Below are 23,796 nucleotides of genomic sequence, written 5' to 3'. Positions count from 1 at the left end.
ATATATTACTATTTATAAATATATAATTATATAATTAGTAATTAACTATAATTAGTAAGAATATAATTACTAATAATTATATAATATTCTATACAATTACATATTATTACGGATAATGTATTATACATTATTAATAATATAACATTATTAACAACATATCATATGATTTATATTAATATTATAAAATTATTATAATAATATAATCTAATTATTAGTAATCGTATTCATTCCAGAGATAAACAAAGCAAGATAACGGGTAAAGAGTGGTAGACACAAGGAGATGGGGATGGGGAGGTGGTGATATTATAGATAAGACGACCAAAGGAACGTCAGTTGTTTACCTAGGGAATCAATTGATTTGTGCTGACTATAATCACACCTATGGCTAAAGTTTGTTAGCAAGCTAACACTGAAAATGTACTTACCAACACTTGCCCCACAAAGGTCTGGGCTGAAAGCAACATTTCTATATGATCACGAAATTGTCCCTGGAAGTGGAGGCTTCTTACATGGCTCCTAGCGATGGTACCTGATGTGAACAGTTCCTACAATCAAGAGAAAGAAATTGACAATGTGAGCTGGATCTGAGAGAAAGAAATCTGTTCTACTTACGTTGATGGAGCCTCTTGTGATGGTATCAGTCGAAAATCACTCCACCTTGTCCAAACCAGGGAACCCTGAAGTTGCTTATTCAATATTTCATAAAACGGATTTTACTGGGTTTGCATTTTCCTGGTTTTCTGCACAGCTTTTTTTCTACTGAATTCTGCAGTCTTCCTCCATGTCTTTCTCATGTATACCCGGTCCCAGACCCTTCAAACTGCCATCATTGCAATGATCAGAATTGGGAGCATCATGCCTCCTTCTGCTCTGGGTATAAGTGTAGCAGTTTTCATCAAGATACGTGGACAAAGAGAAAAAGATTACAAATTGATTTTTTAGCTGATTACTTAAGTGTCCGCATTTTGTGAGAGAAGGGGGAAGTTTTCAGCAATTTTGTGTTGCTCTTAGTTTTTTGCCTGGTGTTATATTCTGAAATTATAATCCTTCCTCACATTTATAGAATGTCTTTACTTATTATATTTAAATGTTACGGTAATCTCATATGATAAAGTTAGGCATGACTAAATACATTTTATATTGATGTGGATACCAAGGTATAGAGAAATTAAATGACTTTCCTAATATCAGGCAATGAGGAAAGGCTGGGGCCTGAGCTGGCATTCATTGTTTGTTGATAATAGTCTAGAACCACCACAAAGAAATACACAAACCAACTAGGACTACCCACACCAAGCTAGATGAGTCCCTCTGACTTTCAAAAAAGCTCATTTTATATGAAGCCAGGATTTCAAAATCACTTAATTTTTCTACTCATATTTTCTGAATGATAAAAAGGGAAGTCTCATTAAAAAACTCTTTGATAAAAGTTCACATCCTGATCAATGATTTGCCCTCTAATAAACATGACTCATGTCGGTTTCTAAATGTTGTCTGAGAATTAATTTTAAAAAATCCTAGGTATGACATTAATATAGAATACTCATTTGAATTCCATCATAAAATTGGAGCTACCTTCTGTGGAAAAACAAATTGGTCCTAAGATATAATAAACTCATATTTATAGATGTAATACATGTTTTAAATGCACATTTAAGGAGAGAAATTGTAACTCTCCAAATAATTTTTAAAATAACTCTTCACAGTACACCTAGATTTCTGATTTTTTTTTTTTTTTGCATTTGTCCAACTTCTCCAAAGGCTTAGAGAAAAACAGGTCACTCTTAATTTGATGTAATAAAACAAATCATTGAAAAGTAACTCAACTTGATCAAACTCTTTCCTCAAGATTCAAAAGCAGAATGGTACAGCATTCTGGTTGCTCAGGCTCACTTCTTAACATTTTGTAACATTTGCTAAATATTTGTAATTAAAGGGTATACCTGGATCGAAGTGTAGACATAAATTACACCCAAAGTAAGAAATGAAAAATATAGGAAATTGACAAATGTACTGTCACATTTTTGTAATCACACAAAATGAACATAATGGAGAAGAAGAACATTGCCTGGAGCAGAAGACTAAGAAGATTTAAAAATCCTACAAATTCAGTTGTGCATTAACAACAACAAAACAAGGTAGAAACAAGGAGGCAGATCCATCATAGCTATTTACCCATATGTCAGTATCCCAGAATTCTTTCTCCAATTATTGTGCCACAGCTTAAAATCCATAATGTAGAAATAATCAATAGAATAAACTTGTTTAGGAACAAAATCTATAAGCTTCAGTATTGGATAATTTTCAAATATGGAAAACAAAATTCCATATTACCAATAACTTTAAAAACTTATCAATTTATGAATTATATTTTATGTAGGTTTTAGCACTAAAAGAAATGTTTTAAGCAAATTTTCAATATTATGATGCACAGGTGAAATGTGTTGTGTTATGGAAATTGCTATAATCTATCAGAGAAAGAAAGTTTGGGAAGCAAAATTGGAAACAAACTACACAGGGTATAGTAAAACTCTTCACCTTTGACCTCTGGTAATAGAACATCCATTACACAGCATTTGAGAGCTTTATTTCAAGCTCTTAAGCAATGCCTTATCTGTATAATACATCATTTATTCTCATCATCATCATTTGCCAGCTGTTATTCAACAACATCAACTCCTGCTAAGCTTGTTTGGGTATAAGAAATGTCCTTGCATCTATGCCTGGATGGCACAGGCATGTATGCATGGGCTTCTCTGTGTATGTGCAACTCAATGTGTTGTCTTCATATGGTATACAAAAGGCAATGTACACGTCAGTACATATGCATTATGCATGAACAATTTATGAAAGCAAGGTTGATGTTGATGTCTTGTTCCCTTTCACCTCCTTTCTATGACCTAGCACAATTGTCTTGTTAAAATTCGAGATAGAGGCATGGACATAATGTTTATGAACTTTTTTTCAGAACAGTGACCTCTGTTTCCAGAGCTAACATTAATCATTATCCATACAAGACATTGCTTTTTCCAGTGATGGGAGAGAGAAGAGGCTTGGCCCTGTCTCTTCAGGCCTCAGAATGTGGCCTGAGGTCTGGCTTACCACCCTTTCTGAGGCACCAGGCTATAGAAGCTGACTCTGTTAGCTTGAAAAACTGAATGAAGCTTAGATCTTTTACTAAACACAAAACTACCCCAAACTCATCTCTGACTTCACACAGAGGGATCCCTAACAAGGAAACTGACCAAGATAATTCCTGTTCCCTTGATGATTTGCCATTTTTTAACAGATCTCCAGATCAGCCTGAAGATCAACAGGATGATGAGTCCACTGAAGAAGGTCACAAAGGAAGAGAGAATGAATGCTGCTTGGATCTCAGTTGTGCAGGACATTTTTGGCAAGTCTTCCCAAGTTTCATTTCGTAGCTTAGTCTGAAACATGTTCGAGACATCAGTAGACGGAATTGCCAGGTCATTTGATGACGCCGTGGTCGCCTGGTAACAATTCCAGGAATCAGAGTTCACTGTACCACAGTGTTCCAACATTAGGCGTGATAACCAGTGAGAAGTTCCAGGAACAAGGGTCTGCCAATCCCCCGGTGCCAGCTCATGGGTTGTGAATGAATACACAACTGGAGATGGCTGGGGCCTACAATATGAATAGTCAAAAAAATCATAATTCTAGATCGGATTGTTACGACTTTCTCTATGCCTTGAAGAAATCCCATTATCTGTAGCAATGATCAGCTGGTTATCAGTTCAGTTAATGCAGTCAAATAATTTCAAATCAACTCTTTCGGAGTGAAACAACAGCCAACTATGTGTGTGAATGAGTTGGTTCTCTATCTGGGAGGATGCCACGTGCTTAGTAGGCTTGGAAGGACAGAAGAGAGAAGTACTTTAAAGTTTTTGTTTATCCTTTATACAAAGGAGCAGATATGCAGAATGAATAAGTCTAGAAGATCTAGTGTGCAGAACAAAGAACATAATTAATAAAATTATTTGTATTCAGGATTTTTGCTAAAAGAGTAGATTTTAAGGGCTCTTGTTACACGCACACAAAAGATGATTAACTCTGTGAGATGATAGATATATGAATTTGCTTGACTGTAGTCACTGCTTCACTATGCATAAGTTTATCAAAAGAGCATTTTGCGTTTGTACTTGTATGCGGAAGCTAAAACAGTGGATCTCATAAAGATAGAGAGTAGATTCATGGTTACGAGATGCCGGGAAGGGTGGCTGAGGAAAGAAGTTGGATAAAGAGAAGTTGATTAATGGGTACAAATATTTGGTTTGATAGAAGAAATAACATCTAATGTTCTATAGATCAGTGAAGTGACTATAGCTTATGATAATCTATTGTACATTTAAAAATAGCTAGAAGAGAAAAATTTGAATGTTTCTAGCACAAAGAAAATACAAATATGTAAGTTGATTGATATCCCAAGTACACAAATTATGTGAATGTATTAAATTATCACGTGACTTGAAAATATGTGTATCTGCTGTGCATCAATCCAAAGAATATCACGTTGTACTCCTTAATTACACACAATGAAAATCAAGATTATCTTGAAACAGAAAAAAAAAGGTTTTGTTTATTCTTTACATAAGAAAGGCATAGTATAGAGTGCAGGTATTGAAGAAGACAATTTAACTAGTGTGGTCATTGGTTGATTGTTATTTCAGCCCATAAATCCATTCCACTTATCTCTTCTTTATGGAACTCTCCCCTTTCTTGCTTTTATTACTGCCCTGGCAGCAAACCTTTTGGCCCAGCAGAGGTAAAGTTCAGAATGAGAGAAATTTCTTTGATTTTCCCTGATGTTTTCAAAGGTGTAAGAAATGTCATGCCTTTCAGTGTGCACAAGTGGCAGGCAAAATGTCAGAGCCCAGTGGAGGGCCTAGTTCACCCCAGTTATTACCAAGATAACCTGACACCAGGTGAAGAGGCCCAAGAGGAATCATCACGCTGTCCTTGGGAGCCCGCCATGACTCCACACTGTTTGGCAGGCTGTTTCAGAAGATAACTGTAGCATTTCCTAGGACTGCTGCCACAGTTACATTTCCTGCTTTTAAGCTTACCTATCATTTCTACAAAATCCTGTCATTGAGCTAGCTAATAACAAAGGGCGATGTTTAAAAGAACACTGGTCTAGGAGTTAGGAGCCCTGCGTTCCAGCCCAGTCCTTCTATTAAGTTACTGTGTGATTTCTAACAAGTCATTTTAATGTTCGTAGTCTTTTGATTTTATGTGGAAGATAATACCTACTTGATAGAATTATTGTGGGGATTCAAGAAGGTAGTGTGAACATATTTTGAAAAGCATAAAACTCAATATAAGATGCCATTAGCCATTTCAGTTCCTTTTTTGAATGGCATTAATTATAAAGACAGGAGGAGGAAGAAGTAAAGGAAAGGAGGGAGAGAAAGAAGGAAGGAGGGAGGCAGGGAGGGAGGTAGGGAGGGAGGTAGGGAGGGAGGAAGGAAGGAAGGAAGGAATGAACGGAGGGAGGGAGGGAGGAAGGAATGAGGGAAGGGAGGGAGGAAGGAAGGAAGGGAAGGAGGGAGGGAGAAATCACTTGTTTATCTCTTTCACATATGTGTGTGTGCGCACGCACACACACACACACGCGCGCACACACACACACACACACACTTACAGCTATGTGGACAAGATCAGACTTTCCAAGCCAAAATTCATCCACATCCTTTACTTAGTATTCTCCCTTTTATCTATCATTATCACTTTAATTTTCTTATTTTCTTCCCTTTTACTATTTACTGTTTGTTAGGATGGAGAAAAGAAACAGAGACAAGGGGAGGTCGCTCAACAGCAACACAGGTTTATTGGACAAAGACTTGCAGAAGGGGAACACCAGACAGCGCTGGAGCCCAAGCCCCGCTTACAGACTGGAGCAGTTGTAGGTCCCGACAGGAGAGGTGGGGCAGTATGGGTCGCTGCAGGGCAGGATGTGATAAAGGAAGAATTTCCTGCAGTCAGACGGTTAGGCCTGGGACCTGCCAGGATGTTTCTCATGGCCCGAGCCCCTCCAGGGGAATTTTCCACCCTAACCAGGGTGTGCAAAATGGCAGGGGTTTACAGGATGGCGCTGCTTGGGCTAACACTATTTTCAAAGTATTTCGATTCTGCTGTATTATGATGCATCCTGGGCACCTCTTCCCTTTTTGCAGATATTGCTTTATGAACACAAAAAGGATTCCATTCAATTCGAACAGGCAGGTAGTTTGTCCCTCTAATATGCTGTTATCACGATAATAATATTACTGTCTGCAAATGAGTAGAAAAATGTGCAGGTGGTTTCAAAATCAGTCTCTTCAAACCCATCTTGAACCTACAGTGACGAACAGTCCCTGTTCAGAACTGTCCCAGGTTCAAAACTGAAAGTCCAGTGACTGGAGAAACCGCCTAGTCCTGGCAAACCACAGAGACTGGTCACCTCCCATCCCACGACACATCATCTATGCTGCGCTCCAATCATACTGCCTCCTCTTAGCTATGAGGACATGCAAACCTTTTCCTGGTCCAGGCCCTTATAGCACAATGCCTCTGTTCCCTCTGCCCAGAGCACTCACTTCAATAGTGGCTGCTATTTTGTTGTCCTTCAGTTCTCCCTTGGTCTCTCTTACGGCTTTCTGACCCTTTCTTTTATAGCACTTCATGGTACTCAAGATTTGTTGTTATGTGATTTACTTGTTGCCTGGTTTATTTTCTATCTCCTTTCACAAGACTATAAGCTCCACAAGCACGGGATATCATTTCCGCTTTACTCATCACCGATTACTCTGTGTCTAGTATTGTACCTGGCACATACCTGGGAATGTGTAGACTTCGTAAATATTTGGCGATTGAATGAATACATTGCTGATCCTCAAAAATATTTGTTAGGTGAATGAAATACTGAATCTGCATGAACCTTAACCTAAGTTATCCAGATTTCTCTGCTCCATATTCTCCATCTTTGACGGCAAACTGTTCTTGTGATGAAAGCATCATCCATAGTGTGTAATGCATGGTTCATAGTGTGTGTGCATGTGTGTAAGTGTGTGTGTGTGTGTGTGTGTGTGTGTGTGTGTAGTGAAAAGGGCACCTGATTTGGATCAAGTGTCAAAGTGTCACCATCTTTGCAAATTTAAATTTGGTAATTATGGCCAGATGCGGTGGCTCACGTCTGTAATCCCAGCACTTTGGGAGGCCGAGGCAGGCAGATCACCTGAGGTCAGGAGTTTGAGACCAGCCTGGCCAACATGGTGAAACCCCCCTCCCTAATAAAAATACAAAAAAATTAGCCAGGTGGGGTGGTGGGTGCCTGTAATCCCAGCTACTCGGGAGGCTGAGGCAGGAGAAGCGCTTGAACCCGGGAGGTGGAGGTTGCAGTGAGCCGAGATCATGCCGCTGCACTCCAGCCTGGGTGACAGAGTGAGACTCCGTCTTAAAAAAAAAATGGTAATTATTCTCGGTTAGTGAGTTATTTGGTGATGGGTGGACATGTGACTAGGCAAAGCCCTTCGTAGCTTGGTAGCAGTTCAGTGTTCAGAACTTGGAAGGTAGGGAACTTTGAAGCAATGATACCCTTCACAGTAATTAAGATAGTACTCTCCTTGTACTTGATGGTTTGATAAGGATAAAAAACAGTAACTATTTTTTTGACTACCAGCTGCAAGCTAGAATCTTCGTCGTGTGTGTGTGTGTGTGTATGTATGTGTTTAACAATTACCTTATACCAAGGACTGGGAGCACCAGGGACACCAAAACAAATCTAGTTCATTCCCTCATAGAAGAGAGTCAACTGAGGAAGACATTTACAATAACAAACTGCAAAAAGTGTTTAGAAAATAAACTAATCTGGTGAGGATCGAGGGGGTCAGGAAAGCTACCTCAAATACGTCATGTTTGAAGCTGAGGTCTGTAGAATGAGAAGCTTCCCAGGCCAGGACAACAGAAGGGGTTAAGGAGGCTGGGGTAGAACATGATCAGGCTGAGAAGATATGTGGAAAGGAGAATGCACTTTCTTTCTTTCTTTTTTTTTTTTTTTGAGACAGAGTCTCGCTCTGTTGCCCAGGGTGGAGTGCAGTTGCGCGATCTCGGCTCACTGCAAACTCCGCCTCCCCGGTTCACGCCATTCTCCTGCCTCAGCCTCCCGAGTAGTTGGGACTACAGGCGCCCGCCACCACTCCTGTATTTTTAGTAGAGATGGGGTTTCACCGTGTTAGCCAGGATGTTCTCGATCACCTGACCTCGTGATCCGCCCGCCTCGGCCTCCCAAAGTGCTGAAGTGCATTAATCATCGGCCAGATGGAACACAGTGACCCAAAAGAAGGCTGGGCGTGTATAAAGGTGTTGCAGGACTTTTCCTTAGTTCGGCTAAAGACGGGGTCCTTGTCCGTCCCATGGCCGTGAAAATTTAGGCTCATAGACGGTTTGAATGGTGAGTAGGAGAGAGTAGTATTGATTGAAGAGGAAGAAAAGAGGCTCGAATCAGGGACTCTCGCAAGGCGAGCCCCTGCTAGAGCGCTTCCCGCCTGCAGCTTGAATCCCGGGTTCCACACAGGAAGAGGAGGGACCAGGCTCCTCCCTGCTCCAAAGGGCACGAACTTCTGTGTCTCCACCCCAGTGCGCATTTCTCCTAGTGCGCAGGCTCGTTGGAGGTTTTCCGGGGACCCTTTCCAACCTGGCTGTCTCAAAGGGAACCAGATTATGCAAGGCTTTGTGTTCCAGCTTAGGCTAAACCAAGAACAACTTTATCCTAAGGTCAAGAGGAAATATTTGATAGGTTCTAAAGAAGGGAGGTAAGTCATTGCATTTCGATTGTAAAAGCATCACACTGGTTTTCATGCAGAGACTGCTGGTCTCGATAGTGACAGGACGCTAGTCCTGATGGGATGGGGCTGGTGGGAAGAGACACAAGTGGGCAGGTGTGAGTGATGTCTGGGGAAAAATCAGCATTTGGGACATGAGGGCCAGGAAGCCTCAAAGGTGATCCTGGGTCTCTGAGTGATACCTCTGGGTAGTTCTGGGGGCTTTTCACTGCCATGCCTTTAATAGTAAATCTAAGAAGTGAAGACTGTGCTACGGAATCTTTTCTTTTTTTTTCCTTTTTTTTTAAGTTCAGATGAATTTTTTAACATGTCAGTGATTTGATTAGAAAAATTGCTTCACTTTGTACACATTTCTGTAATTTACCTCTGGGCACTCAAATATTCTGCAAAATTATACTTTATAATGGGATTGAATAAATGTTTAATTTTAAAAATTTATTCTCTTCAAGCAACATGCCATATCTGAGAAAGGAAAGTAAGAATTACATTTTTAAGTGTAGATAGCAGCACTCAGGAATGAGTGTGTGTGTGTGTGTGTGTGTGTGTGTGTGTATTTGCAATGCTTCTGGAAGTAATAAGTTATATTGTAATGTTGCCTTTTTAAGTGCCTAAATCCATCCATTGCACTTAATGCTATAACCCCACATTTCTCTATTTCTATAAGCAGAGCTTTTTTTTATATCCTCAGAGCACATTCATACCATTGGGAAATTGCACTGTTGAGAAATGCTAAGCCTCAGTCCTCAATTCATGCAGCCAGTCAATGGCAGAAGCAGGTCTGAAGTTGGGGATGGAAACGGCTGTAATGCCACAGAGCACTAGAGTCATGGTGAAAGCCCATTACAGCCAGCTGCTTCCAGGGAAATCTCTCCTTGCTGAGTTCTTATATCTCTCACTAAGGAAATTGACTTAAAGATTACAGCTTCACTTTCTCAAGGTGTGTACATGGAGTTATTTAAGTCACCAAGTCTTTACTTAGACCTCCTTAAGGATTCATTTTTGGTTTAACTCCTCTTTTTACATTTCACCAGTAGGGTACATAACATATTAATTACTTTCCGAGAAGCTTCTTTTTGAGGGAACCTTCCTTTTTTCTACAGAGTCTCGCTCTGTCAGGCAGGCTGGAGTGTAGTGGTGCGATCTCAGTTCACTAACCTCCCAGGTTCAAGTGATTCTCCTGCCTCAGCCTCCTGAGTAGCTGGGATTATAGGCACACACCACCACGCCCAGCTAATGAGGGAACATAATTCAATCCGTATTTTGTTTAGACCCATGACTTATTGAGACTTACCCTTTGAAAAAGGCACTGTGTTTTCTCTGCAGTCTGTTGTTCCCTGTTTATTCTAAATGGACAAACCGCAGGAAGATGTTTCACTGTGATATAAATGTTAACCCAATAGCAGGATGTCTGTGATGCTCTGTTGTGCATATGGATCTGCTTTTAGAAACTAACAACTCTCGAAAGAATATTACAAACAATATAATGCATTTAAAATCCATATGGAAACCCTGAGTTTTATTTGTATTTTTTGTTGAATTTGTTAATATACTTCTGAAATATAAGACTCAGAACAAATTTCTTATGCTCCCTGAAGCATAGTTTTCTCATCAATGTAGAGTCTGAACTGATCTCTGAGATCCCTTCTGGCATTGACATACTACCAATCTTTTATTCTATAATCTTAGATTATTTCTGTAACAGACTGTAAACACCTTACCATATTTCTAGAATCTGACCTCATTCTCCAAATGGACTCTTTTAAAAAATGAACACAAAGGAAGAAGCATCATTTCTGAATGGCTTTTTATTGAAGGCTTCCCCTTTAATAATGTAACTTGAAATCCAATTTGGTTTCTTTTTAGACCTCACGGAATTACTTTTCTTCATAGAGAGAATGTGGTTACCTTGGCCACTGTCTCTGATTTCATCTCTAACGCCACGGCCTTGTTCCCTATGTGGTCTGATTTGAAATATCCTGACTGGCTTGACAGAAAGATCATCTCTTACCGTTGCTCTCCCTAGTCTCTCAATTCCTTTTTTCTCACCAATTTGTTTTCTGCAGTACTGCAGATCTGTGCCTCATTTTAAGTGTTTGCAAAGTGCATTTGTATGTTCGTACCTATATCAAATACGTGGGCGTATGACCTGGGTCTATTGCTAAATACAAAGTAAAACATTTGTCAGTTTCTTTAATTTTTGGATTTGCGATTCCTAATTTTTTGTATTAAATACTTGAAGAGTGGTGTTCATAAATTGTGGTACAAATTCAACAACAAGAGTTAAAACATGAGTCTTCTCCATTCAGCCAGTAGATGGAAGTATTTCATAGGGAATTAGCAAGCAGAAGCTTTTGTTGTTTTGGGCCTTTTTTGGTGTTTTTTTTTTTTTTTGGTGGAGGGGGTGTTGTTTATTTTTTGTTTATTTATTTTTTAAAGAAGATAGAGGAATCTCTCTGGAAAAAAAGTGGAAAGGGGAAATGAATAAAAAAAAATAAAAGACTAAGAGAGGGGCACCCAATCCCATAACATGCAGGGCTTCCAAACTCATTCAGCCTCAGCAAAAACCTGTTTTCTGTTCAGGCTCTGTCTATTGTCTTCTGTGATTTTGTTCCTTTTGAGAGAACAGGAGGATAAATTAAACTGTCGATAACTATGGAGCTTTTTCTTTTTAATATAATCTCTATAGATCCTTGAGAGTCCTAAAAATCTTTTCATGAGAATGAATAATGCAATCAGTCTCCTCAGCAATCAGGCCAGCTGAGCATCAAGCTGGTGATTTTATTGGAATGCTTAATGTCCACCACAAAGCGGAGTGAAGGAGACAGCAGTGGAGGCTTACTGTTGGCAGTTCTGACCAGCAACTCTGGCCAAGCTTCTGATGCCAGCCCTTTGCCCATCCTCTCTACCTCTCCTGTTTGGAATTAGTGGTCTATCATTAAAAGACTAAAGCAAATCACCAAGCATTGGCCCAGTGACTGGTTGCATTATTTCCATGGGTGCTGTGTGAATGTGTTTCTGAAATCCTAATTACAATGAGCTGTGTATTTGTTTGAGTCCCAACTTGAGGCTTAGGTTAAAAAACAGTTGTCACCCCCCAACAGCATAGGAAATGAAAGCCATCTTTTCTGTATCAGATCTCGTTGAATTGCACGTTCATGCAAACACTCCTCTCCACAGCCTCCTGTCGCCTTGCGAGCTCTGGCAGGAGTTGAAAGGACTGGCCGTTAGGTCCACCTTTGGTTTGAAGACAGCCCAGTAGTTTTTCAGTTAAGAGAGAAACTAAAACACCATAGATAAAATAACTCTCATAATATAATTTATTGTAATTCACATATTTACAAGAAAATACAAACAAATGCTATAAGGTGCATGCATGAGGCAAATGAAATACCCTGGACTGATTAACATATTCTTTGTATTGTTATTATTATTATACTCTAAGTTTTAGGGTACATGTGCACAACGTGCAGGTTTGTTACATATGTATACGACGTGTGCCATGTTGGTGTGCTGCATCCATTAACTCGCAATTTACATTAGGTATATCTCCTAATGCTATCCCTCCCCACTCCCCCCAACCCCACAACAGGCCCCGGTGTGTGATGTTCCCCTTCCTGTGTCCATGTGTTCTCATTGTTCAATTCCCACCTATGAGTGAGAACATGCGGTGTTTGGTTTTTTGTCCTTGCGATAGTTTGCTGAGAATGATGGTTTCCAGCTTCATCCATGTCCCTACAAAGGACATGAACTCATCCTTTTTTATGGCTGCATAGTATTCCATGGTGTGTATGTGCCACATTTTCTTAACCCACTCTATCATTGTTGGACCTTTGGGTTGGTTCCAAGTCTTTGCTATTGTGAATAGTGCCTCAATAAACATGCTTGTGCATGTGTCTTTATAGCAGCATGATTTATAATCCTTTGGGTATATACCCAGTAATGGGATGGCTGGGTCAAATCGTATTTCTAGTTCTAGTTCCCTGAGGAATCGCCACACTGACTTCCACAATGGTTGAACTAGTTTACAGTCCCACCAACAGTGGAAAAGTGCTCCTATTTCTCCACATCCTCTCCAGCACCTGTTGTTTCCTGACTTTTTAATGATCGCCATTCTAACTGGTGTGAGATGGTATCTCATTGTGGTTTTAATTTGCATTTCTCTGATGGCCAGTGATGATGAGCATTTTTTCATGTGTCTGTTGGTTGCATAAATGTCTTCTTTTGAGAAGTGGCTGTTCATATCCTTCTAATTAAACTAAAGAGCTTTGCACAGCAAAAGAAACTACCGTCAGAGTGAACAGGCAACCTACAGAATGGGAGAAAATTTTTGCAATCTACGCATCTGACAAAGGGCTAATATCCAGAATCTACAAAGAACTCAAGCAAATTTACATGATTAACATATTCTTATGCAGAGCTTTACTTATTCACCCAGCTTTGTTCTTTCTCCCATCAAAGGGTAATGTTGCCTTCCTTATTGGTATTTCTGAGTTTCTTCATCAGTATTGTAATTTTAATTGCATTTGTCTAAAAGCTGCCTTTCTATGCAATGCCCTTCATGTGGAGCTGTTTGCATTAATACATGTATTTTCTTTTTTCAGCATGTCCTTGAAGTATGGGTCTTTGGAATATAAAATGCAAAAACTATATAGATAAGTATTGGGGTACAAGAGTCATTGAGCATTAAATCTGTTTAGCACTTAATCCTGTTCATTCTATTTAAAAAGGAGGAAACTGAGACCCAGGCAGAAGAATTTGTTCTTCAAACTGCGAAAGCAGAGCTACCCCAATTCATCCACACACATAGTATTTCAGAGAAAAAAAGAAAACCCTATGATGGCAAGCAGTCATAAGGATGAATGGTAAGCTTATTTGGCAAAACCTTTGATTTGGCAAATCCTCTGAGTTTTAAAATATCTTCTAATCTCATTTCTAACAAGCATTGAACTGATGGGAGAAAAGGGAGTACTACAGATGAGATAAAGATCAAATCCTTTGTGGCTAGGAGAGACAGTGAAAGGAGAAAGCACAGCAATTTGGTGGCAAGATTTTATTTGCTTGTCAAGGTAGCAACTCTCTATGGAATGGCCAACTCTGAGCAAGTGACCCCTTCCTCTCCGCATGCACGTATGCTGTGTCCCGCGCGCCCTGTGTCCAGTCCCTGATGAGCCAGTGTCATTGCAGTTCCTTCAAAGCAAAGGTCGCTCTTGGGAAATTTTGCCACCAGAGGGCAATACTGTCTAACTTTTGCTCTTAGGGAACTGCCAACACCCCCCCCACAACTTCCATCACTTCCACCCCCCTTTATAAGGAAAAGTTGTGTGGTTTTTTTTTTTCTTTTTCCCCCAGGGGTATGCCAAATAAACCCTTCAGAAATCACGTCTTTGCAGTCCCTGATCAGAATAGGGGGAAAGAAATGCAGTCCTGATTAACAATGAGATACAGGAGAGCCCTTGACGACTTTCCTGGCAATTACCTTGGTGCTCACCTCAATGAAACTGGAAGGACAAGTGTTCGGGGCTATGGATATGAATCTCATTAGTATAACTAGGCAGGGTGGTTGCGTGTAACACAGGTAACGTGTGAAAATCCAGAGAGGATTTAGGTTTGCAAAGTTCATCCTTGTCCTGGATCACCATCCTTGGATTAGTAAACTTAGTGAAAGAATTAAAAAATAAACTCGTTTATTGCATCTCCACTCAAAATGTCGTCCTGAGCATGGGCTTTTCTTGCAGGAAAGACCATGTTACAAGATGATCTCAGTCATAGGTTATCAAGGTCTAACACAGAAATCAAGACATAAGTGTGAGAGTCTTAACAATTTTCCCCATTTAATATGCCCATACAAAACAAAAACACAGAAAGGTAGAAGTTAATTAACTCATTTTCCCCAGAAAGATCATGGTGATGTTAGAAGGATCATCTAGGACTTTCTTCTTGGCTTTGTGAGTTCTCCCTAACCCCTTCTCCAGCTAGAAAATAAGCTTCTGGGAGCTCTTTTGGTTTCTGGAGTCTTCTTCTAAACCTGTCTGTCACACACTGGTTGTCATTTTCCCTCCCTGACCCATCTCATATCCTTCTCACTGCTGGGTAAGGTAACAGTTGGCAGTGGATATGTTCAGAGTCTAGTACCCGGCCTGACCACACAACACCCAGATAACCACATTGTTATCCTTCCCACCCAAGGTGAGCCTGGGGACAGTGGCTCCTAGGGAGGCAGAGCAGCCAGTTCTGCTTCTCTGTTTGCTGAGAGTTTCCAGTTTGAAAGACACACATCCCCCTTTAATGGACCATCTAATGGAAATCACCTGCTCCTCGAATAATCATTGAACAAATTGATAGCACACAGTAGCGAGGCTTCTGGGCTTCAATACTACCTGGCTGATTCCAGTAGATGGAATGAAAACAAACCAAACAAACCACTGTTCGTTGTTTAGAAGCTCGTTATTACAGGGGAATCACGGCCTCCGCAAATTGGAGCTCCTCTGCTGGAAAGGCAAGAGCGCCTGTGGCCAGGGGAAAAGTGCCCTGGATCCTCTAGGGAGGGCTTTGAGTCCTGGATTTGCTACTTATCAGATCTGGGAAAAAACAAAAAAACAAACAAAACCCTACAGAATCCATGGAGATAAAATACCTACCTTACCCTGAAGCCTTGTAGACAGTATGAGGTCAAGTTAGGTACTATGAGGAAAGCTCTTTCTCAATTTGAAGTATCAGGCCCTCAGTGTGACAGCACTCGGGCACCCAATACAGCAGTCCCGTCATCCACAGCTTCACTTTCTGTGGGTTTTAGCCACCCATGGTCAGCTGTAATCTGAAAATATTAAACATGAAATTTCAGAAATAAAAGATGTCTGCGTTTAAAATTGCACACCATTCTGAGTAGTGTGATAAAATTTTACATCATCCTGCTCTACCTCCATCAAGGACATGAATCCTTTTAACCAGAGGACCCACGCTGTCTCTACTCCCCGCCCACTAGTCACTTAGGAGCCCTCTTGGTTATTAAACCGACTGCGGTGGAATTGTAGTGCTTAGGTTCGAGTCGCCCTTATGATACAGGAGCTAAAAAGAAATTATTTAGGCAGATAGTGAGGGTAAGAGGGTCCTCGGTGGAATTTCCCTTTTAATAAAGAGCAGTCCCCAAATTATTTCTTTTCTCACAAAGAGCAGCCTGAAAAATGGAGCTGCAGACCTAAGCAAGCTGGAAGATTGCACAGGTGAGTGCCAGCAGCTGTGCCAATAGAAAAGGGCTACTTGAAAGCCAGGTATATTCAACATGGAGGCTCCATCTTCCCTTTATTTTTGTCGCCACGTGTACAGTAAAGAAGCAGGCAACATGGCATCGGCCAGGTAGAGAACCGGTCTGCATAATGACAGATTCGGCTGGGGCAGCCAGCCTCTTTGCACACTATGTAAATGGCACATCTGGTCCAAATAGTTCTTTGTTCCCTATGCAAATCAGACACCACTTCCTCAAGGTAGTCTATGAAACCCTGTTCATTTCACAAAGGAACTGGCAACTCATTTTCTCTGGGAACCCTCTCTGCAGTTAGAGAGCTTTTCTCTTTCTTTTGCCTATTGAACTTCTGCTCTGAACCTCACCCTGGTGTATCCAAATCCTAGTTTTCCATGGCCGTGGGACAAGGAACCTCAGGTATTACCCCAGATGAGTGACGCCACTTCATTTATTCATAATTGCCCCCAAATGCAACCTTAGTGATGCTGGCAATTCAGATCTGCCAAAGAGAAGCCATCAAGGGCTTTTTTTAAGTGAAAAGGTGAAAATTCTCCATAAGGAAAGAAAAGAAATTGTATGCTGAGGTTGCTAAGAGATATAGTAAGAGCAAATCTTCTATCTGTGAAATTGTGAACAAGATAGTGTTATAATTGTTCTATTTTGTTATTAGTTATTGTCGTTAATATCTTAGTGTGCCTAACTGATAACTTAAACTTGATTGTAGCTCTGCATGTGTAGGAAAAATCGTTGTACTATATGCACGTATTGGGTTTCAGGCATCCACTGAGAGTCTTGGAACATATGCCCTGTGGATAAAGGGGGACTACTGTAATAATAGCTGTTATTTATTGAGCACAGAGTTCTATATTAAACAGTTTTTGCAGACTGCCTCACTAAATCATCTCAACAGTAAGCACATAGTAGTGTGAAAGGAAAACAAATCTTGGGACCCCCAAATCACTAAGTTAAAGGGAAAAATCAAGCTGGCAACTGTTTGGGGCAAATCGGCCTCCCATTCTTTTCAAAGTCATCCCTCTGTTCACTGAGATAAATGTATATCTGATTACTTCCTTTGGAAAGGCTAATCAGAAATCAAAAGAATGCAACTTTTTGTGTCTTATTTACCTGTTACCTGGAAGCCTCCTCTCTGCATCCAGTTGTCCTGCCTTTCTGGACCAAATTAATGTACAGCTTCATATATTGATTGAGGTCTCCTGTCTCCCTAAAATGTATAAAACCAAGGTGTACCCCGGCCACCTTGGGCACATGTCGTCAGGACCTTCTGAGGCTGTGTGACAGACACGCGTCCTTAACTTTGGCAAAATAAACTTTCTAAATTGACTGGAGACCTGACTTAGATATTTGGGGTTCACCGTAGACATACATTGATCCACTTTAGAGATTAAAAATTTCAGGGGCAGAGACATTCATTGATTTGCCCATGGTCTCTGAGCCAATAAGTGGTGGTTTTGACTCACGGTTCAGTCTAGCAGGCTCCAAAATCTTTGCTCTATTAAGCTTTACAGGCAGATCTGTTGCAAGCTGCTGCCTGTATCTTGGACAGTGAAACCTTCAGCATCTGAGGCTGCTTCTCTGTAAAGAGGTTAAACCTCCTTCCTCTTTCTGGCCACATGGTTCATTACAAAGGGGCACTCCATGTTAATGAAGGATCTTTAATGGCTTTAGGTAACTCCTGATTGCCTCCACCACTCTGATTTGGAAATCATGCTCTATCTAAGGGGACCTCTTCAGTCTAACGAGAAAAGGGACTGGGAGTGGGAGAAAAGGGAAAAGCACAGGAAAGGCTGAAGCCAGTCACCACACCTAATTAGCTGCATTTGCAGCCTGCACAGACAAGAGCTCTCCTGAGGAGCAGCCAAATGAGGAGGGTGTGGTTCTTTGCAGGAAATGTTTTCCCCTAGGAGACAGGAAGAAGTGGGTTCTAGCAGGTGGAGCCAAGGTCATCTAGAAGTATTTCAGTTTGAGGTCTGAACTCTGGAGACTGGGAACAGCTCCAGAGTTCTGAAATGCATCAGGAAGAGGATATAACCTATGATACATCATTTGCCATTCCTTGCTTGGTGTACATGTCTGGGATTAGTTTGTCCGTTCCCTTTATCTTTTAAAAGTACTATCTCCTTGGTTTGGGTAGGGTAGGAAGCCTAGAGTTTCAGATCTTCTTTTGCATCCTCCACAACATCTAGCAAAATCTGTTCATATTTTAAACACTGAGTTTGCTGGAAGAGATAGCTATGCGATGAGAGGGAACACACACACACACAATGAAAAACTATGAAAAATAAATTTAGTACTTTATTATAACCTCAAGAATGCAACCCGAAGGAGGGATGTGAGATCAGGAACTGTTTTTAAGGAAGAGATGATAATAATGACTAGGTAGAATTTACAGGATAAAGGCGACAGAGTCATTCCAGATGAGAAAATGTCAGGAACTGTAAGAATGAACATATGTGAAAAGGGGAGAAAGAGGAAGAAATAACATTTTTGGGATCTAGCCATTTTATAGTTCCTTTACAATAACAGTCCCAGATAATTAGTGTTATGATACCCAATTAACTCTAGGATGTGAGTTGATGTGTCTAAGATCACAGACTTAATTAGGAATAGAAAGCCCAATCTTCTGATCCCAAAGCATGGATTTTTTCCATGTCTCCTCTTAATTTTAGAGTGTGATTTACTAATAAATGTCTTTTAAAAAGAAAAAAAATTAAACCAGAAAAAAAGAATCCAGTTACTATTTATATGATATGGTAGGGGAAAAGACTTTCTAAGCATAAAAAGAATGAAAAAAGTAACCAAAAATAGATTTCTTTGGTTATATGACAATTAAATTCTTTATAGTTCATAAACATCATAAAATTAAAACCAAGCAATACATTTTTACAACAAATAATTGGTACAAAATTTGGTACCTCTTATATATAACTCATAAAATTTGTAAGCAATACTGAACACTACTGGCAAAATGAAAAGAAACGTGAACATTCAGTGATGAAGACAACAGCTAATATTTGATAATGATATGAAAACTCATGTAAAAGAAAGTTTTCTTTGTCATGAGTGCAAAAATATTGCCTCATATACAGCTGTTAAAAATGTAAATATTGCAGAAGTATCAAAATATTTACTTTGTTAACTGAGTAACTTATTTATTTTTTTTTTGAGACAAGAGTGTTGCCGAGGCTGGAGTGCAGTGGTGTGATCTTGGCTCATGGCAATCTCTGCCTCCAGGGTTCAATTGATTCTCCTGTCTCAGCCTCCTGAGTATCTGGGATTACAGGCACGCCCCACCACACCTGGCTAATTTTTTGCGTTTTTAGTAGAGACAGGGTTTCACCATGTTGGCCAGGCTGGTCTCAAACTCCTGACCTTAGGTGATCCGCCCGCCTTGGCCTCCCAAAGTTCTGGGATTACAGGCATGAGCCACTGAGCCCGGCCTAGTAACTCATTTTTAAGGTATCTATCCTCAGGAAGTAATTACAACTTCAAAATAAACTTCAAAAGAATAATTTTTGTTTTTAATGGAAAAATAATGGAAAGTACCTAAGTATTAAATGAAAAAAAAAATAAAGACATCCACTGGTGGGTTATCTTGCCATTCATAGTATGGAAAATTATCACAAAAGAATATTAATTTTTTTTTTTTTTTTTGAGACGGAGTCTCGCTTTGTCACCCAGGCTGGAGTGCAGTGGCGCCATCTCAGCTCACTGCAAGCTCCGCCTGCCAGGTTCACGCCATTCTCCTGCCTCAGCCTCCTGAGTAGCTGGGACTACAGGCGCCTGCTACCACGCCTGGCTAATTTTTTTGTATTTTTAGTAAAGACGGGGTTTCACCGTGTTAGCCAGGATGGTCTCGATCTCCTGACCTTGTGATCCACCCACCTCGGCCTTCCAAAATGCTGGTATTACAGGCGTGAGCCACCGCGCCCAGCCAAGAATATTAAATTTTTTTTAAGTAGCAACATTAAATGTACAATATTATCTTTATTAATATTGAAATATGTATGTTTAGAAAAAAGACCAGAAGGAAATTTAATACAGGATCATTTGCTATCTTTTAGTGTGAAAATATAGGCATTATATATATATATATGTTTGGTGAGGCACAGTGGCTTATGCCAGTAATTCCATTATTTTGGGAAGCTGAAGTGAGAGAATTACATCAGCCCAAGAGTTTGAGACCAGCCTGGACAACATAATGGGAATCCCTTCTGTAAAAAAACTAAAAAAATTAGCCAGGCATGGTGGCACGTGCCTGTGGTCCCAGCTACTCCAGAGATGGAGGCAGGAGGATCGCTTGAGCCCAGAAGTTCTTGAGGCTATGGTGAGCCTGGGCGAGAGTGAGACCCTGTCTCAAAAAAAAAAAAAAAAAGTAAAAAAAATTGTTAAAATATACTTTTTATTGTCTTTAAAATGAAAATGCCCTGTATCATATTAAATATTTTAAGTAAAATAATCAACTAGCTTGCCGTTGTTCCTTTATTCATTCATTCATTGAACAAGTCATTGCAGAGAAGCTTGTATGTGGTGGCAGGCACTTGCCCACTATGCTACACAGAGTCTCTGCTCCCAAGGAACTTTCAAGTGTATGATCCAGTGTAAAATTACAAATAAAAATAAGTACTATGAATGAAGATGATAAGTTTCTATAAGAATTCAGAGGCTGGGCGCAGTGGCTCACTACTGTAATCCCAGCACTTTGGGAGGCCCAGGCCGGTGGATCACCTGAGGTCAGGAGTTTGAGACCAGCCTGGCCAACATGGCGAAACCACATCTCTACTAAAAATACAAAAATTAGCTGGGCGTGGTGGCGCATGCCTGTAATCCCAGCTACTTGGGAGGCTGAGGTAGAAGAATTGCTTGAACCCGGGAGGCGGAGGCTGCAGTAAGCCAAGATCGTGCCACTGCACTCCAGCCTGGGAGACAGAGTGAGACTCCATCACCAAAAAAAAAAAAAAAAAAAAAGATTTCAGAATAAAGTAACCTGCTCCAAACTACTGGAGAGGCATGGTTCTCAACTCTGATATTAGAATCACCTGGGACACTTAACCGACAACAATCCCTAGCTTGCTCCCCACCCTTCTCTCCTCCAGCCCAGGTCCCACTCTCCAGGTGACATAGCCTTCAACCTGGTGGTTGGAGAACAACTGGGCTGAGGTGAGGAGAAGATGCAGACAGTGGAACTGGACATGGCTAGAGTCAGGCCAAGGGTGTGAGGCTCTTGGATCCTGGGATTTTTATCCTGTGCATTTTTTTTCCTGAAAGCACTGGAAAACCTTTGAAGCATTTAAGCCTAGATTTGACAATAGATTTACATTTTCTAAATCTCTCCTCGCTCTGCAATGAGAAGAAGAGATTGGTGGGGAACCAGAATGAAAAAGGGTGGTCAGTGCGCAATCATAGGACAGCGTGGAAGTGGATGAGGGTGAAATAGAGAAGGGTGGGTGAAATTGAGAGATATTTACGAGTAAAATAGTGATGACTTGTTTATGACTGCATATGGGAATGGTGGCAAGACACACTAGTATTTATCATGTGAAATCTAATTGAGATTTATTTCCTAGATGCAAAGAGTTGCTAACAGCTGGTGAACTTTATCATAATTGTAGGAAAAACGCCCTTTATGATGTTCCCTTAACCAAAATGAATTTGTAACAGAAAGATATTCCAAGATTAAGTACAAATAAAATATAATTGAATTGTTCAAAGTCCCAAATATGTATGTAATAATGAACAGGGCCTGTTCCTAGGTCACCAGTGAGAAGTCTGGGCTTCCAGCATGTTGGGCCACATTCTAGACCCTTCATGGTTGTCAGCATAATGAGGCCAGACTTTGTCTTGACAGACTTATCCAATAATTCTGAGGTGACTGGTATTTTCTAGGTAAGGAAAGAAGAACATGACTATAGAATGTCTATCTCTATTTTATTTCATGCCAGGGACAGTGAAATTTGATTCCTAAACCATACTTTTACAATGCAGTTTCCCCCTTTCATTTGCTGTATTAACTGACATATTTCTCATTCTACTTTCATTAAAGAAAGGACTTGATAGGTCATGGTAGATTTTAATCACTTATAATAGAGGAAAGCATTTGCTTTGGGATAATGTGGGAAATCAGACTGGGTTGTATAAGACCATAGGGGTATCCCAAAAGCATGCATTTTAGACTTTTCCTGCTTCCATCCCACTAATAATCTGGGCCTGAAGTGTTTGCAGATCTTTTGTCAGACAAATAGGTAAGTGCTGAGCAACTGCTAACGTGTTTATCACTGGGCTACAGACGAGGTTAGGAACACACAATAGCCACCTCAGCTAATTGGAAGTGGGATAGGTAGGCAAAGGAAAATATTAAAAAATAGACTCGACATGATAAAGTGTCTTACTAGGAATGAAACGCTATAGGAAAACAAAACTTGGCATTTTGGGATAACATTTAAAATTTTGATTATTTTGGAACATAGTAATTAATAATTTTGCGGGCATCATGAATTTGTTTTTTTTGTTGTTGTTGTTTGTTTATATATTTTTTTTGAGACAGAGTGGCTTGATCTCGGCTCATTGCAACCTTCGCCTCCTGGGTTCAAGCAATTCTACCTGCCTAGCCTCCCGAGTAGCTGGGATTACAGGCACCCTGCATCACAACGGCATCACGCATTCGAATTTAGTATTTTAGAGTGATCTTAATAGGTGAGTACATAATTGGCTTCCCTGTATCTAAATCTAGACGCAACTCTGTTCTCTGCTCAGCACTGCCTCTTGGCTATGGGTAGTGATTGAATTAAACAAAACAACAACAACAACAAAAACCAAACATGAAAACACACATTTATTTCTTTTGAAAAAATGACCTCGAAAAGAAAGTCAGTAGCTAAGTTTGGGATAAAAGTTAAGTGGTTCCAAAGGTTATACTTCTTAGACAGAAAAGAAAAAAAAAATAGAGTCAAATGATGAGTTCAACTCAGTATTATCATGCACTCTACAGAGAAACAAGAGTGAGCAATCTGTGGAACTATTTCTGCAACTATTTCTGCCAGAATTTATTTTAATAGCTGTGTAAAAGCCTTCAGCACTGAATTTATAGAATCATTAATTGTCTAAGGGGGTCACTTAAAATTTTAAGTTGTACTTTATATAGCATTTTATGGAAAAATGATATGTAATAGGCGTATTTTCAGATTTGCAAATTTGAGAAGGCCTAGGGATATTCCCCTCATGAATGTATATTTCTCCCATCCAAGTACTGCTTGGCTTCTGAGATCAGATGAGATCGGGCGTGTTCAGTGTGGTATGGCCGTAGACATGAATGTATATTTCTTAAAGTGTTAATGATCTGATAGAGATGAAAAGAACAAAAAAGAATTCCCTTTACCAAGTCAGATAAGGATTTGGAAATAAGGCAGTTTTAGTAACCAGAGTCATAATAGATTGATAAGGGTAATAGTAATGGAATAAAAGTGGGTGGGGGACAGAGAGAGAGAAAGAGAGAGAAATGTAGTGATATAGGTAGGAGGTTGGAAGCCCCTGAAAAACGCATACATGCATATTATGGTTAAGGAAAATTTTTGTGAGCCAGTTTCAGAAACGTTCAGTGGAGAGTTCAGGGACTTCAGAATTCTAGTCCTGGTTCTGTTCCAAACTAACTCTGTGACTTTGAGGAAGTCGTTTATCCTCTCCGATCTTTAATTTCTT

General features: G+C 40.1%; 1 protein-coding gene and 1 pseudogene across 8 annotated transcripts in view; both read right to left on the bottom strand.

Moving 5' to 3' along the window:
- The window catches only part of KCNU1 (potassium calcium-activated channel subfamily U member 1), a 151,752-nt gene extending 148,275 nt beyond the window's left edge, over positions 1-3,477 (bottom strand). For all 8 annotated transcript variants that reach the window (NR_134267.2, XR_001745486.3, NM_001031836.3 and 5 more), the window contains exons 1-2: positions 3,246-3,477; positions 426-545 (exon numbers count right to left, since the gene is read on the bottom strand). Coding sequence is in view for 6 of the 8 variants with exons in the window: in NM_001031836.3 (NP_001027006.2) it covers positions 426-545; positions 3,246-3,440 (315 nt within the window). In the remaining 2 variants the exon portion in view is untranslated. The remainder of the gene's footprint in view (positions 1-425; positions 546-3,245) is intronic.
- On the bottom strand, positions 23,300-23,406 carry RNA5SP264 (RNA, 5S ribosomal pseudogene 264; annotated as a pseudogene).

Source organism: Homo sapiens, chromosome 8 (assembly GCF_000001405.40).
Source record: "Homo sapiens chromosome 8, GRCh38.p14 Primary Assembly".
Classification (NCBI taxonomy): domain Eukaryota; kingdom Metazoa; phylum Chordata; class Mammalia; order Primates; family Hominidae; genus Homo; species Homo sapiens.
The sequence above is the reverse complement of the archived record's forward strand: the minus strand, read 5'-3'. Positions and strand labels throughout refer to the sequence as shown.